Here is an 18,151-nt window from a genome sequence, read left to right as displayed (position 1 = left end):
CTCAATAGTTACAGGTGGCTAGCGCCTACTGAATTGGACACTGTAGTTTCAGTGCATTGAATTTCTGTCCCACTTAGCGCTAATTAAAACTTCACCCTCTCACCTGATAATTATGCTAAGATCTCAGAAAGTAACCCACTACAGGCAGTTTCAAGCCCTAATTTACCTCTAATTACTCTTACAGCAATGCGATGAATCATGATTTAAAATTTTAAAAAAAAATTGCTGTTAAATTATTAGTCAAGCGCCCAGGGCAATGGACAGTAAAGAAATAATGTAGGCCATGGGCCGAGATGACAAAACGGTCCTTTTATTTAAAGCTATAACAATAATCTGAAGCCAGCCCTGTAAAATAGACATCCATTGAAAAAGTCATGCTAGTTCTTTTGCTTTTTTGTGTACTTGGCCTCCTGTGTCCCTAAACAGACCTCTTCTCAGCAGGGTTTGCTCAGCAAGTCACTTGTTGAGTCTTGCGGTCAGCAGAGGGGGTAGGGAATGGCAGGGACTGGCATAGGAGTGAGGGGGAGGAGGCAAGGTGAGGGGGGCCAGGTGAGGAGGGGGGCACTTCAAGGGGAGTTCAAGACCAGCCTGGGCAACATGGTGAGACCACCGCCCCTCACCGCCGCCATCTCTGGTCTCACTCTGGTCTCACACACATGCACAAATTAAATTTAATTTAAAAATTAAAAAATTGTTTTAAAATAAGTGGAATATTTACATGGATTATGTATACATTCATTTTGTAGAACTATAGATCCCATGTAACTGGGAACTCTTTACTCTTCTAACACAACATTTATTTAGCCACAAATGAAAGACCAGTGATGTAGCCTGTACACAAAAAAGTAAGAAAACACTGGTTAGGCTGGGGCAGGGGTGGGGGGAAGAGATCTACAAATTTAAAATTTTATTGGGAAGGATCACTAATTAGAATCAGAACAATTACTGCTTTAAAGTAGTTAAGAACAGAGCACAAGGAACCCAGAGAAGAAGCAGATATGATTCAGAGCAGAGCTTACAGAGCAGATGGTATCTGAGCCGAGACTGATAGAATAACATTAATAAGGGCATTCACGGCCATTTATTATCACTTAACTGCAATGCATTTTGTATAAGTTATTTCTACTCTTCATATCAACCATGGAAAATAATACTTATTCTTCTCTTTTGAAGTTAAAGAAGTGGTAAGTGGTCTAAGAAGATAAATTAACATACCAACACCAAATAGCTCAAGTTCAGTGACTCAAGAGGGCCCGCGTCTCCCCAAGAGGTTGCTCAGCAGGCAGACGAGGTAGAGAGCCCTTCCAAGAAGTGACAGTGAGATGTGAAAGGTCCCAGTGTGTCTCTGAGAACAACAGAAACCAGTATGTAGACCAAGTGGGAAAAGCCACGGAAGAGGCAGGGATTTCCTCTTAAGATAGCAAGAATAAACAGAGCAGGGCTGAGGAAAGCCATGGAAAACGGGCAGAATGCCATGAATTTAGTGAGAAAAAGACAATTTTTACTTTAGAAAGGGGGAAAGAATGGTGGTGGTCTAGGTAAGCCTAGAAGCAGAGGAAAGGGCAATGGAGAAAAAATAAACAAAATGTATGAGTCAGGGTTCTCCAGAGGGACAGAACCAACAAGATACAGGTATATGTATAAGGGAGTTTACGAGAGAGAATTGGTTCACACGGTTAGAAGGCAGTCCCACAATAGGCTGTCTGCCAGGTAGGGAAAGAGAGAAGCTAGTAGTGGCTCAGTCCAAGTCCAAAAGCCTCAAAACCAGGAAAGCCCGCAGTGCAGTCTTCAGTATGAGGCCGAGGGCCTGAGAGCCTCGGGGAAGCCGCTGGTGCAAGTCCCAGAGTCCAAAGGCATAAGAACCTGGAGTCTCATGTCCGAGGGCAGGAAGAAGGGAAGCAAGTGTCCTGCACGGGAAGAAGAAAAAAAGAGAGCCAGAAGCTTCAGCTAGCAAGGTTATCCCATCTTCCTCCGCCTGCTTTATTCTATACAGTGCAGCGTATGTACACCACTTCTGTGATATTGTTCCTAATATCCATGGGAAGAAAGAGTGATGTTACTCCCAAGAGCATATGGGGGTGTACATCCCTTGTGATATTATTCCTAGTATGCAGGGGCAGGGAAATGACATTACTCCCAATATTGCAGAGGGTGTACTCCCCGCCCTGTGATATTGTTCCTAATATTTAGGGGATAGTGGGTGATATTACTCCCAATATCAGAGGGGGTGTGCACCCCCCGTGGTATTCTTCCTAATATCCAGGGTGGGGGGAGAGGTTTATATTACTGTCAATGTCACAGGGGGTGTACATCCTCCCGTGGTATTGTTCCTAATATCTGGGGGGTAGAGGATATTACTGTCACTATCACAGGGGGTGTAGACCCCTTCAGTGATATTGTTACTAATATCTGGCGGGGAGAGGATGATATTACTGTCAATATCGCAGGGGGTGTACACCCCCCGTGGTATTGTTCCTAATATCCGGGGGGGAAGAGGAAATTACTGTCAATATCACAGTGGGTGTACACCTCTTCTGTGATATTGTTCCTAATATCCGGGGAGGAGAGGATATTACTGTCAATATCGCAGGGAGTGTACAACCCTTCTGTGACATTGCTCCTAATATCCGGGGGTGGGAGAGGATATTACTGTCAATATCGCAGGGGGTGTACACCCCTTCTGTGATATTGTTCCCAATATTCAGGTGGGGAGAGGATCATATCACTTTCAATATCACCAAGTGTGTACATCACCATTGTGATATTGTTCCTATATTTAGGGGATAGTGGATTATATTACTGTCAATATCACAGGGGGTGTGCACCCCCCCATGGTATTGTTCCTAATGTCCAGCAAGGGAGAAAACACTACTACTTCCAATATGGCAGGGGGTGTACACGTCCTATGGGATACTGTTCCTATATCCATGGGGGAAAAGGATATTGGGAACAATATTACAAACAATATCACAGGGGGTGTACATGTCCTGAGATATGAGGAGTAATATAACCCTCTCCCCCTCTAGATATTACAAACTGTATCACAGAGGGGTGTAAACCCCTGCAATGTGGAAAGTAAAATCATCTTCTCCCCCACTGGATATTACAAATAATATCACAGACGGTGTACATGTGAGGTGTTTATGATATTGGGAGTAATATCATATCCCCCAGTGGATATTATGAACAATATCACAGAGGGGTGTATACACACTCTGCCTTATAGGGAGTAATATACTCCTCTCCCACCCTGGATATTACAAACAATATCACAGAGGGTGTACACACAGGGTGTTTATGGTATTGGAAGTAGTATTATCTCCCCCATGGATATTACTAATAATATCACAGGGGTGTGTACATCCCCTGTGATACAGGGAGTAATATCATCCTTTCCCAGCCTGGATATTACAAACAATATGGCAGGGGGCAGTACACCCTGGCGATATGGGTAGTAACATCATCTCCTCCCCGCGTGGATATTATGAACAATATTCTAGGGGGTTGTACACCCCCTGCAATATGGGGAGTAGCATCATCCTCTCCCCCACTAGATATTATAAACAATATCACAAGGGGGTGTACACTTCCTGCGATAAAAGGAGAAATATAATTCTTTCCCCCAGAGATATTATGAACAATATCGCAGGGAATTGTTCTCCCATGCTATATGGGGAGTAACATCTTCATCTTCCCCCTGGATATTACGAAAAATAATGCAGGGGAATGTAAATCCCCTGCGATATGGGGAGTAAAATCATTCTCTCTGGCCAGGAGCGGTGGCTCACACCTGTAATCCCAGCACTTTGGGAAGCCGAGGCGGGCGGATCACGAGGTCAGGAGATCGAGACCATCCTGGCTAACATGGTGAAACCCCGTCTCTACTAAAAATACAAAAAATTAGCCGGGCGTGGTGGCGGGCGCCTGTAGTCCCAGCTACTAGGGAGGCTGAGGCAGGAGAATGGTGTGAACCTGGGAGGCGGTGCTTGCAGTGTGCCAAGATCAGGCCACTGCACTCCAACCCGGGCGACAGAGCAAGGCTCTGTCTCAAAAAAAAAAATCAAATCATTCTCTCCCTCCCTGGATATTATGGACAATATCACAGGGGAGTGTACAATGAGTTTCTAGAATGTATTTGAGGAGGGTGACGGGCGGTGTGTGCATGCTTCATGGCCTTATTCAATTAAACACTCTGCTCTCAATTTATTGCTAAATCCTCCTTGAGCCCTTAGATTTCATAACGGTTGTCGCGACATTTTTCTGGATGTAGAAAACGTTCCTATTTCTTGCCACCTCATGGGCTACACCTTGAACTAAAGTTTTTATGTAGATACTTGTGCTTACTCTGCGGCCTTTCCAGGGTTTGCTGAAGATGGAGGTATTTAGGCTGGGCAAGAGGTGGTGAGGTAAATTGGGGTTTATCGATTATAGAACAGCCTCCTTTAGAGGGATATAAAGCACCGCCAAGTCCTTTGAGTTTTAAGCTGTTGCTTGTAGTGTTCTGGCGAACAGTTTTGTTGATCTAACTATTCGAGTTTAGAGTTAAGCATAGCGGGGTATCTACTCCCAGTTTGGATCTTAGCTATTTTGTCTTCAGAATATTAAAGGCACCTTCGTAGTTATTTCAGCTGGGGTTTTTTTACAACTTTTTTACAACTTATTTAGAAACTTTCAGGTTTCTAAATATATGAATGAACCATAATATAAGCCTCGGCCAATACAATGCTGGTTAGGCCTCCTACTGTAAAAAGGAAAATAAATCCCCGGGCTCACAGCATTGCGGGGGATCATTTGATATTACCGCCGTGAAGTGTAGCTAGCTAGTCAGCTAAAAACTTTGACGCTAGTAGGAATAGCAATAATTATAATAGCAGAGGTGAAGCAGGCTCATGTATCCACAACTATCCCTACCGTAAATATACGGTGGGCCCATACAATAAACCGTAAGGACCCAACTGATCCTATAGCTCACACTAGGCCCATATACCTGAATGGTTCTTTTTTCTTCCAGAATAGTATGTTACGACGTGGGAAATTATCCCAAAGCCCAGTGGGATGAGGATGTAGACTTCAGGGTGACCAAAGAATCTGAATAAATGCTGAAATAAGATAGGATCACCTCCGCCAGCCAGATAGAAAAAAGTAGTATTAAGATTGCAGTCAGTTAACAATATAGTGATGCCGGCGGCTAGGACTCGGAGACAAAGGAGTAGAAGAACTGCTGTAATTAGGACTAATCAGATGAAGAGGGGTGTGTGATATTGGGACATGGCTGGGGGTTTTATATTAACAATTGTGGTAATAAAGTTAATAGCCCCTGAAGTAGAAGAAACACCTGTCAAGTGGAGTGAAAAGATAGTGAAATCTACAGAGGCGCCTGCATGTGTTAGGTTTACTGCTAAGGGAGGAGAGACTGTTCAGCCGGTTCCAGTGCCGGCTTCTACTATAGTGGATGCAAGTAATAAAAGGAAGGAGGGTGGGAGGAGTCAGAAGCTCATATTATTTATGCAGAGAAATGCTATATCGGGGGCGCCAATTATCGGGGGACTAATCAGTTGCCAAGACCTCCAATTATAGTATTACCATAAAGAAAATTATGACAAATGCATAGGCTATAACAATGACATAAATTTGATCATCTAGTAGAGTTCAGCTCGAATTTAAAGCTGTACTGACTATCCCTGCTCATGTGCCAAATAATAAATATAATGTCTCGATATCTTTATGGTTGGTTGAGAATAGTCAACTGTCAGCCAACATAAATGAAGTGAGAAAAAAGGGTAAAATGACTGAGTAGGGCATTAGACTGTACATCTAAAAACAGAGGTCAACGCCTGTTTTTACCAGTCCCAAGGTGATTTTCATGTTGAATTGTAAATTCAAAGAAGCAGCTTCAATCCTGCTTCTCTCACCTTTTTTCCCCCAGCTGCTGGAGAAGTAGATTCAAACCAGTTGACTAGGGAGTTTAGCTGTTAAGTTTTCATGGGTTTCAGTCTCATCAATTTAGTAAGGACTTAGCTTACTTAAAGTGATTGATCTGTATTCAATTGACCAAGGGTGTTCTGTATCTGAGAAAGTACATTTCAGGGTCACCATACAACAACTGTTCAAAAAGGCCTCCAATATGGGACAGTCCTATTTATTATCTCAGAAATATTCCTCTTCGCTGGATTCTTTTGAGCATTCTACCATTCTAGCCTAGCCCCTACTCCAGAATTAGGAGGGCATTGACCCCCAACAGGTATTTCTCCCCTTGACCCCCTGGAAGTACCTCTCCTGAATCCATCTGTATTACTTGCATCAGGAATTTCAATTACTTGAGCCCATCACAGCCTAACAAAAAATAATCAAAAACATACAATCCAAGCACTACTTGTTACAATTATATTAGATATTTACTTCACCTTCCTACAAGTCTCAGAATACTTCAAAGCTCCCTTTGTTATTTCTGATGGTATTTATGGCTCAACATTTTTTTATAGCTACAGGCTTTCACAGAATTCACATCATTATTGGATCAACATTCCTCAGTCTGCCTTCTCCGCCAATTAAAATACCACTTTACATCTAGTCATCATTTTGCCTTTGAAGCCGCTGCCTGATATCGACACTTTGTAGATATAGTATGACTATTCTTGTATGTTTCTATTTATTGATGAGGATCTTACTCTTTTAGTATAAATAGTACCATGATTTCCAAAGTTTTGATAGCATCCGAAAAACAGTAATTCACCTAACATTAACCCTAGTAATCAACACCCTATTAGCCCTGTTACTAATAATTATTACATTTTGGCTCCCACAACTTAATATATATATGTAGAGAAGAGAGAAAAAAATATATATATGTATAAAATAAATATATATAGAAAAATCTAGCCCTTATGAATGCAGATTTGACCCTCTATCCTCTGCCCACATTCCCTTCTCCATAAAATTCTTTCTAGTAGACATCACATTTCCCCTATTTGAGTTAGAACTCGCCCTACTACTACCCTTACTGTGAGCCCTTCAAACAATCTGATACTAATAATCCCTGCGATATGTGTAGTGACTTCATACTTCACCCCCCCCCGGATATTACGGCCAATATCAGAGTGGAGTGTGCACCCCCTGCAATATGGGGAGTGATATCATCCTCTCCCCACTGGATGTTATGGACAATATCACAGGAGGTTTACTTTCTCTGGGTTATGGGGAAAAATATCCTCCTGTCCCCGCCTGGATGTTAGACATATTTAGAGGGGGGTGTCCACCCCCTGTGATATGGGGAGTAGTAATATCCTCTCCTGCCCTGGATGTTATGGACAATATATAGGGAGATGTACAATCCCTTCGATATGGGGAGTAATATCATCCTCTTCCCCCTAAACGTTACGAACAGTATCACAGGGGGATGTACACCCCCTGCAATATCTGGAGTAGTATCATCCCCTTCTTCCCTAAATGTTACAGAGACTATCACAGGGGTGTGTACACCTTCTGAAACATGGGAATAATATTCTCTTCCCCTCTGGATGTTATTATGGACAACATTACAGCCGTGTGCACCCTCTATGATATGCAGAGTAATATCATCCTCTCCCCCCCGGATGTAAGTGACAATACCACAAACGGGTTTACATCCCCCGTGATATGGGGAGTAATATCATCCTCTTTCCCACTGGATATTAACAATATCACTTGGGGTGTGCAACCCCTGTGATATTCTGGATAATATCTTCTAATCCACTGAAAGTTATAAACAATATCACCAGTGTACACTCCCTGTGATATTGGAAGTAATATCATCCTCTAATCCCCTAAAAATTATGAACAGTATCACAGGGGAGTGTATACTTCCTACTATATTGGGAGTAATATCATCCTGTCGTCTTCTAAATATTATGAACAATATTACAGGGGATGTAACACTCCCTGCCATATGTGGAGTAATATCATCCTCTCCTTCCCTAAATATTGTGAACAATATCACAGGAGGTTGTACACAATCTGCGATATTGTTTGTAGTATCCAGTGGGAAAGAGGATGCTATTACTCCCCATATCACAGGGGTTGTACACCCCCACTGTGATATATTCAATAACATCCAGAAGTAATATTACTGACAAAATTGCAGGGGGTGTAAACCCCACCTGTGATAACGTTCCTAATATCCCTGGGAAGAGAGGATGATATTATTCCCAATATTGCAGGGGGTGTACACCCACCCTATGATATTGTTATTAATACCCAGGAGGGGAGACAATGGTATTACTCACAGTATCAAAGAGGTTGTACAGCCCCCCTGTGATAGTTTCTAATATCCAGGGGGTGTATACCACCCTTGTGATATTGTTTCTAATATGTAGGGGGAAGGACAATGATATTACTGTCCGTATCACAGGGGGTGTACAACAAGCCGCCCGGGATATCATTCCTAATATCCATGGGAAGAAAGAATATTATAATATCACAGAAGTTGTACACCCCCTCTGTGATATTGTTCCTAATATCAAAGACAGAAGGGTATGATGTTCTTCCCAAAATCACAGGAAGTGTATACACACCCTGTGCTATTTTTCCTAATATCGAGAGTGAGAGACAATGATACTTCCAATATCGTAAGGAGTGTACACTCTCCCCATGATAGCAGGTGGGGAAATGTTGATATTACTCCAAATGTCACAGTGGGTGTACACACGTTTTGCGATATTGTTCCTAATAGCAAGTGGGGAGGAGGATTGTATTACTCCCACCATATTACTCCCCACACCCCATTATACTGTTCTTAATATCCAGATTTGGAGAGGATGATATTACTCCCAAAATCTCAGGAGGTGTAGACCCCTTCTGTGATACTGTTTCTTATATCCAGGGGAAGACTAGATGATAGTACTCCCAACAGTGCAGGGTGTTACACGCCACCCCCCATGATATTGTCTCTAATATCAAGTTGGGGAGAGGATGATATTGCTCCAAAGGTGCACACCAGCACTGTGATATTATTCCTAGTATCCAGAGAAGGAGAGAATGGTATTATTTTTAATATCACAGAGGGTGCACACCCCCCTTGTGATACTGCTCCTAACATCCAAGGGGTAGAGGATGAAATTACTCCCAATATCACAGTGGGTATAAACCCCCCGTGGTATTGTTCCTAATATCCAGGGGGTATAGGATGATAGTACTATAAATATCGCAAGGGGTGTACACCCTTCTGATATTGTTACTAATATCCGTGGGGGGAGTCGATGATATTACTTCCAATATCACAGGGCATGTACACCCCCCTTGTGATATTGTTCCTAATATCCTGGGAGGAGACTACGATATTACTGGCAATATCGCAGGGTGTGTGCATTCCCGTGATATTGTTCCTAATGTCCAGCAATGGAGAAAATATTACTCCCAATATGGTGGGGGTGTACACTTCCCATGCGATATCATTCCTAATATCCATGGGGGAAAAGGATGATATTACTCTAAATGTCGCAGGAGGTGTAAACCGCCCCTGTGATATTGTTCTCAATATCCATGGGGGGAGAGAATGATATTACTCCCAATATCACAGGTGGTGTACACCCCTCCTGTTATATTATTCCTAATATCCAGGTTGGGAGAGAATAATATTACAGGTAAAATAGCAGGGGGTGTACACTCCGCCTGTGATATTGTTCCTAATATCTCGGGGAAGAGTGGACAATATTACTCTCAATATCGCAGGATGTGTACACCCCCTTTGTGATATTGTTCCTAATATCCATAGGGGGAGAGGGTGATACCACTCCCAATAGTGCAGAAAAGGTACAGCCCCGCTGTGATATCATTCCTAATATCCAGAGGGGACAGGATGATATTACTCCCAATATCAGAGAGGGCATACACCCCCTCCCCATGATATTGTTCATAATACCCAGGGGGTAGAGGATGATATTACTCCCAATATCACAGTGGGTGTACAACCACCCTGTGATATTGTTCCTTATATTCGGGGGAGAGACAATGATATAGCTGTCCATATTGCAGGTGGTGTACAACCCCCTGGGAATTTGTTCCTAATATTCAGTGGGGAAGATGATATTAATTAAAATGTCACGGGGGTTATACAACCCCTTTGTGATATTATTCCTAATATCCAGGGAAAGAAAGAATATTATTCCCAATATTGCAGGGGATGTACACCCCTCTCTGATACTCTTTCTAATATCCCTGGGGGGAGTCTATAATATTACTGGCAATATCATAAGGAGTGTATACCCCCCGTTATATTGTTCCTTATGTCCAGCAAGGGAGAAAATATTAATCCCAATATGGAACAGGGTGTAGACACCCATGAGTTATTGTTCCTAATATCCAGGGAGGGAAAGGATGATATTACTCCCAATGTTGCAGTGGTGTATAACCCCCCGTGATATTGTTCCTAATATCTAGGTGGGGAAAGTACAGTATTACTCCCAATATAGCAGGGGTTGTACACCACCTTTGTGATATTGTTCTACATATCCATGGGGAAAGAAAATGATAGTACTCCCCAATATCACAGGTGGTGTACAACCCCTTGTGATACTGTTTCTAATATCCATGTTGGGGGAGGATATTACTCCCAATATTGCACGTGTTGCACAGACCCCCTTTGATATTGCTTGTACTATGCAGGGTGTGGGGGGAGAGGATGATATTGGGAGTAATATCACCCTCTCTCCCCGGATATTAAAAGCAACATTCAGGGTGGTCGACACTTCCTGCAATATTGAGTATAATATCCTCTCCCAACCTGGATATTAGGAACAATATCACAGGGGCATGTACACTCCCTTCCTTTCACCATATACAAAAATCAACTCAAGATGGATGAAGGACTTATGTAAGACCCAAAACTATATAAACCCTAGAAGAAAACTTAGGAAATATCATTCTGGACATAGGCGCAGGCAAATATTTCATGATGAAGATTCCAAAAGCAATTGCAACAAGAAGAATTGACGAGTGGGACCTAATGAAACTAAAGAGCTTCAGCACAGCAAAAGAAACTATCAACAGAGAACACCCTACAGAACAGAAGAAAATATTTTCAAATTACATATCTGAAAAAGGTCTAATACTTAGCATGTATAAAGAATCAATAAGCAAAAAACAAACCCACTACAAATAGGCAAAGAACATGAACCCCCACATTCACCATCCTCAAGTCCATGTGCAACTTCTTTCTGGATGCTGGACAAGGACTTGGGTACCAAGAGGGCACTGAACGGGTTAACACTTAAGCCGTCTGTGGATTCTTTTTTCAAAAGACAACGTATGTATGGCAAACAACCATATGAAAAAATACTCAACATCACTAATCATCAGAAAATCAGAACCATGAGATACCATATCACACCGGTCAGAATGGCTATTATTAAAAAATCAAAACATAACAGACGGTGCCAAGTTTGTGGAAAAAAGGGAATGCTTATACACTGCTGGTGGTGATATAGAAAGGAGACAGGGAACTACTGGGTAGAAGAGAGTGGTTCCCTGGCAAAGCCCTGCCCACAAGCCTGGAAACCCATGGCCCTAAATGGGAACAGGCATTCCTGCTTTTGCACCCAAAAGTTGTCTTTCAGCTCACCATGCACCCCCTGTCCTGTACCCATATATGCCCCAGACCCCAGGCTCCAGAAGCAGACAAGCAGATGAGGAGATGAACAGAAGAGGAGAATTGCAGAATGATGTGGCAGAAAGAAGAGAAGGAGCATCTGAATGCCAAGACGAGTTTGGCTGGCAGTGGTTGGAGAGATCAGCCTCTGGATGGCAAAGCTCCCGGGGAAGATCATCTTCCCATTCCATCCCCTTTCCAGCTTCCCATCCATCCCATTGAGTGCCACCTCCACCACTCAATAAAACCCCCACATTCACCATCCTCAAGTCTGTGTGCAACTTAATTCTTTCTGGATGCTGGACAAGGAACTGGGTACCAAGAGGGCACTGAACAGGTTAACACTTAAGCCATCTGTGGATGGCAAAGCTAAAAGAGTGCACTGTAACACATGCCCACTTGGGCTGTGGGAGTCGCAGGAACCCACCCCTAGACAGTACCATGGCCACTTGCCCTGCCTATTGCACCTGCCTGTCTGCATGCCTCCCTGCCCAGTAAGGGGTTTGACAGCACACACGGTGGCCAGACAAGCCACACCCCTGTTGCACATCCTGCCAAGGGGAGTCAGGGAAGTCTCCAGTTTCATCAGGAATGTAAATTTGTTCAGCCATTGTGGAAAGCAGTTTGGAGATTTCTGAAATAACTTAAAACAGAACTACCATTCAACCCAGCAATCCCATTATTGGGTATATACCCAAAGGAATATAAATCATTCTGTCATAGACATATGTACGCAAATTTTCATTATAACACTATTCACAATAGCAAAGACACGGAATCAACTTAGATGCCTGTTAACAGAAGACTGGATTAAAAAAATGCAGCGTACATACACCATGGAATACTACACACCTATAAAATAGGATGAAATAATGTCTTTTGCAGCAACATGATTGGAGCTGGATACCATTATTCTAAGTGAATTAATGCAGGAACAGAAAACCACACAAACACTGCATGTTCTCACTTATAAGTGGGGGCTAAACATTGAGTCCACATGGACACAGAGAAGGGAACAATAGACACAAGGTCTACTGTGGGTGGAGAGTTGGGGGAGAGTGAGGATCAAAAAACTCCCTATTAGATACTACGTTCACTACCTGGATGACTACGTAATCTGTACACCAATCCCATTGACACACATTTTACCCATATAATAAACCTGCACATGTACCCGCTGAACCTAAAATAAATGTTGGAAGGAAATAAAGTTACAACCAACTCTTGTACTATTGTGAGGAAACAATCATATGTGTTGACAAAAAATCAGCTACTAATAGATTTATAATAGTATATATGTAGCAGAAAAATATCAGATATAACTTATATACCCAAAAGTATGATTTAAAAACAGCATGACAATCTTTATGATGGGATATTGTGCAACTACTAGAAGCACATTTTCAGAGATTATTTATTAACATATGATAATGACTACATTGAGTGGTTTTTAGAAGCATGAATTGAAACCATGTATAAGCATGACTTTATTGAACTTATATATAACATTACACACACGTTTACATAATTATAAAATAAGTATGCTCATGTTCATAATATGTATTTATTTATATTCATATGTAAGGCCAATAGGAAGTAATCTCTGTATCTGAGTTATTATTTCATAAATAATTTATGCTTGTTCTGTGAAAATAAAAACACTGCTATGGATCTTCCAAGTATCCTGAAAGGATACCGTTTATAATTAAACAATAACAATTTTAGAAATAATTATTTTAAATAAGGCTATGATAAATCTGGTTTCATTGCACACTTTAACTTTGGAACATTTCATGAAGCGTCCCTTGATCACGACTCTCATATTCAGGAGTTTTTTGAGATCAAAATGGGACAATCAGTATGAATCTATTTTTTAGACATGCAAATGGATAACTTTAAATAGCAGTAGCGATATAATCAGAGTGCACAGTTGCTCTGGGACAAAACTTGGAAATGAGCAAATTTTTAGATTCTTAATGTTTTACACACTTTAGCATTCCACAGCACCATTACATACTCATTTTTCTACTAGAATACCTTGGTAAAAATTCACAGTAGAGATCAGGCTTGTCCTTCATACATTAACTAATCAAGTAGGAAAGTGCAAATGAGAACATAGTGCCAAACATAGGCACCACATGGAAACAAGCATGGAACTGCCAGGAAGCCATTTTTGTAGCTTTGTAGCCCAATTATATTTTTCCTAATGTATTGCACACAAAACTTGGGGGAAAAAAAAGAGGCAGAGAGAAAACAGGTTATATCAGTCCTATCTCACAATCCACAAGTTCATCCTGTTAGAGGAGTAACTATGTAAAACAAATTTTATCTGTTGAATGTCCTATTTAGTTAATCGCAAAACTGTACGAGAACACACTTGTGACTTATTTAGCAGCTTGTTTGTTCGCTTTCCACTGGCTTCACAAATGTCCTTTGGAAATAGAATGTACATTTGGAACCTTGTACACCTTTTCTTTCTCCAGTACCCTCTTGTCACTTCCATCACTAAGGTGACAGAAGCAACTAGGGGCAATGCATTTGTAGCACACCTGGGTCAGAGGTATCCTCCAGGGGAAGGATCAGACCTGCTTGAAAGCATGTCGTTGGAATTGGGAGGCTTTTAGTAGCTATAACATAAGCACTGATGTTTACTGTTCCCTGCCCTCCACTTTGATCACTCTGGGAAACGTTTTTTTTTCTTAAAAAATCAATTGTATTGAAACATAATTTACATAAAATAAATACTATTTTAAAGTGCACAGTTTGCTGAGTTTTGCCAGGTGTAACCATCCAGGTGAATGAAATTGATTAAACTGATCTTTCAAATAATAAATTAACTTTGCAATCTTGCTAGAAATTTAATTGGTTCACAGTTTATTATCCATTCTATGTACTGCTACATTCAATTGGTTATTATGTTTTAAGGACTTTTGAGTCTATGTTTATGAGGGATAAACATCAAAGTTGTATAATGCCTTTGTCTCGATTTGGAATCGGCAATACTGGGTTCATAAAATAAGATAGGAAATGTCCCTTTAAATTTTCTTTTTTTTTTTTTTTTTTTTGAGACGGAGATTCACTCTTGTTGCCCAGGCTGGAGTGCAATGGCACAATTTCGGCTCTCCACAATCTCTGCCTCCCAGATTCAAGCTATTCTCCTGCCTCTGTCTCCCAAGGAGCTGGGATTACAGGTAAGCGCCACCATGCCCTGCTAATTATGTACTTTTAGTAGAGACGGGGGTTTCTCCATGCTGGTCAGGTTGGTCTCAAACTCCTGACCCCAGGTGATCTGCCCGTCTTGGCCTCTCAAAGTGCTGGGATTACAGGTGTGAGCCACTGTGTCCGGCCCTTAAATTCTATTTCTTAAAAAGAGTCCGTTCAAGATTGATGTTATAGATACTCCTCAACTTACAATTGTTTTATGTCTTAATGAACTCATCCTAAATTGAAAATATTGTAAGTCTAAAACGCATTTAATATATTTAACCTACTGAATATCATGACTTAGCCTCGCCTACCTTAAACTTGCTCAGAACACTTACATTATCCTACAATTGGGCAAAATCATCTACCACAAGGCCCATTTTAAAATATTGAGTATCTCATGAAATTTATTGAAAACTATACTGATAGTGAAAAACTGGTCATATTGATGCTCATCATTAACGTACACAGATGAAAGCACCATTATCAAGTAAGAAGAGCACAAGTCAAGCCACTGTAAGTTGAGGACTCTCTGTACTTTCTTAAATGTTTGATAGAATTCACCTGAGAAAGCATGTAGCCTGTAATTATAGAAATCTTTTTTAATTAAAAAAATTCTTCAATACATAGAGAAGCTATTACTTTTTCTATTTCATTTTGCATTAGTTTTAAGAATTAGTTTTACAAATAATTTCCCATGTTATTTTAATTGTCAAATGTATTGGCCTAAAGTTTTCATAATTATATTGATGTCTGTAGGTTCTGTAGTTACATCCTCTATTTAATTCCCATTATCTACATTATGTAGCTTCTGTAATTTTTTTCGAGATAAATCTTGCTAGCCATTGTTTATTAAAAAATTTTTTTCAAAGAACCAATTTGTGGGTATATTAATTAGCTCCACCTTTTGTTATTTGCTATGTTGTTGGTTTACATTTTTATCTTTATCATCTTCCTTCCTCTTAATTTGGATATACTTTGCTCATTTTTTAGCCTCTTAAAAAAGAACCTAAAGGTCATTGATTGAAGCCTTTTATTTTCAATATATTACATCTATAAATGTACCTTTAAGAAACGATTTATCTGCATCCCACATTTTATTAAGTTTTTAAAAAATTTTCTTTCAGTTTAAACTATTTTTTTTGTGTGTGAAACTTTTCTTGGCCAATAGGCTTTTCTGAAGTATTTTGTGTAATGTTCAAATGTTGGGGTGTTATTGTACATATCCTACTGTTGTCCATCTCTGGTTCATGATACAATGCATGTTCTCCATTGCACTTAGATAACATGCCTCCATGTCTCTGGAGAATTCCTCAGTCTTTCTAAAATGCTTTTGATGAATACTGGCAGTTATTTTGTAGAATGTCCCTCCTCAATTTCAGTTAGTCTGATGTTTTCTCACGGTTAGGACTAAAGTTATACATTTTGTCTAAGAATACCATAGAATTGATGTTTTGTCCTACTCAGTGCATCATATAAGAAGTTACATGAAGTTCATTTATCTTATTATTAGTAATGTTAACTTTGATCACTTGGCTAAGTTGACATCTCCACTTTGAAGTTACTATTCTGTAATTATCTTGTGGGAAGATACTTTCATATTATGCAAATATGTTCTTTCCCAACATATACTCACCACTAATCTTAGCATCCCTCCAAGGTTCTTTCTTGCAACAATTATTACTATGATATTTGCAAAGTGATGATTCTTATATTTTATGTCTCCTACATTTAATGAAATCTTACTGTAATAAAATACTACCCATTCTCAATCTTTGGTTTATTATTTATGTCAATATGGATTTTTTTTGAGTTGGAGTCTTGTTTTGTCATCCAGGCTGGTGTGCAATGGTGCGACTTCCGCTCACTACACTTCCACCTTCTGGGATTCAAGCCATTCTCCTGCCTCAGCCTCCGGAGTAGCTGGGACTACAGGCATGTGCCACCATGCCCGGCTAATTTTTGTATTTTTAGTAGAGGCAGGGATTCACCACATTGGTCAGGCTGGTCTCGAACTCCTGGCCTCAAGTGATCTGCCCGCCTCTGCCTCCCAAAGTGCTGGGAATACAGGCATGAGCAACCGCACCCGGCCTGGATTAATTGAAAATTTTCTTCTGTAGATTGTAATATATTACTATTGTTATCTATTTTATTGCCCCAATTTTCTCAAATTTGGCTATGGAAGTTTATTCAAAGTGGATCTGTTTCCCTTTCACATTTTCCCCATTTTGTGAGCATTTCCTTACTTCCTAACATGACAAAATATTTCAAACTAATCTTGTATTTTCCCTGCCCAATCCTGATATCAAATATGTCCCCAAGGAGCCTTGGTTCCTTTAATTGGAGAGTGGTGTTCTCATTGTTACTGGGATGATGTTGTTTCTAGGCCCTTTTGTTAGAGGAGCTAGAAAATATATGTATGTATACTCACACATTTATACACATCTGTACTTATTTATACAATTATCCATCTGTACGTATACTAAAAACAATGATTTCATGAAGCTTTTGATCCCAATCCAACACTAGATAAAGACTATATAGGCCCATTTATTTGCAAGTCAGCACATAAACATAGAAGAATTATTAACAATATAAGCTGTAGCTTATGCTAAATGTTGGTAGGAACAGACAATAAGTTATGGAGAACTTCAGAGGACACTAAGGTTGGATGGGATTTTGGAAGTTGTACAGGTCAATGCCACTCCATCTATTGGCTGAGTTTCACTAGGTTAATACATGAACAACAACAAAAATAACCTAGATCAGAAGTTAAAGATCATTTTATTGACTATCTGCCGTGTCTGTGCCATTGCAGTGTACTAGGTGCACTTACGAGTCCTCTACTTACAAACTGCTTTTCACAAAATATGAAACTCCAGGCAAAGGTTCAGACATACGACGTTTGTTTTTAAAATCTTTCTACAGCCTTGTATCCTTTTTCCTTTCCTTCCTTTTACCCTTTTTAAAATGTGTTATGAGTTTTATCTTAGACTAACATCATCTGAAATGTTGCTATACGCCAGTATTCAGTTGCTGTGTTTGATGAATCATAAAATGGTGTAAAACTTCAATTAGTGTACTTTTTAAATAAAGTATCTATGAATGCATCCAGCAAAATGTTTATGATTTGAGTATTCAGAAAATATTACTTTTCTCTGGATCTAACAATAATGTGAAAACCCAAAATGAATATAAAATGTTAGCTAATAATAGATTTCAAAGTATTCTACAAGTACGAAAAATATATGATATTGTTACTTTCATATATGTAAAACACTAATAATTTTTGTCAACATAAACATCATCTTTACACCTAAACTTGTA

The 18,151-nt window shown here is 40.1% G+C and overlaps 1 long non-coding RNA gene and 2 pseudogenes across 1 annotated transcript; 1 reads left to right on the top strand and 2 right to left on the bottom strand.

Moving 5' to 3' along the window:
- MTCO1P1 (MT-CO1 pseudogene 1) lies at positions 4,790-5,631 on the bottom strand (annotated as a pseudogene).
- MTCO3P26 (MT-CO3 pseudogene 26) lies at positions 6,062-6,664 on the bottom strand (annotated as a pseudogene).
- On the top strand, positions 14,919-17,934 carry LOC124904996 (uncharacterized). Its single transcript, XR_007067807.1, has 2 exons — positions 14,919-15,340; positions 16,662-17,934. It is a non-coding gene; the product is annotated as an uncharacterized LOC124904996 (long non-coding RNA).
- Positions 17,935-18,151: the final 217 nt, after the last annotated feature.

The sequence above is a fragment of the Homo sapiens genome, chromosome 21 (assembly GCF_000001405.40).
Source record: "Homo sapiens chromosome 21, GRCh38.p14 Primary Assembly".
Taxonomy (NCBI): Eukaryota; Metazoa; Chordata; class Mammalia; order Primates; family Hominidae; genus Homo; species Homo sapiens.
The sequence above is the reverse complement of the archived record's forward strand: the minus strand, read 5'-3'. Positions and strand labels throughout refer to the sequence as shown.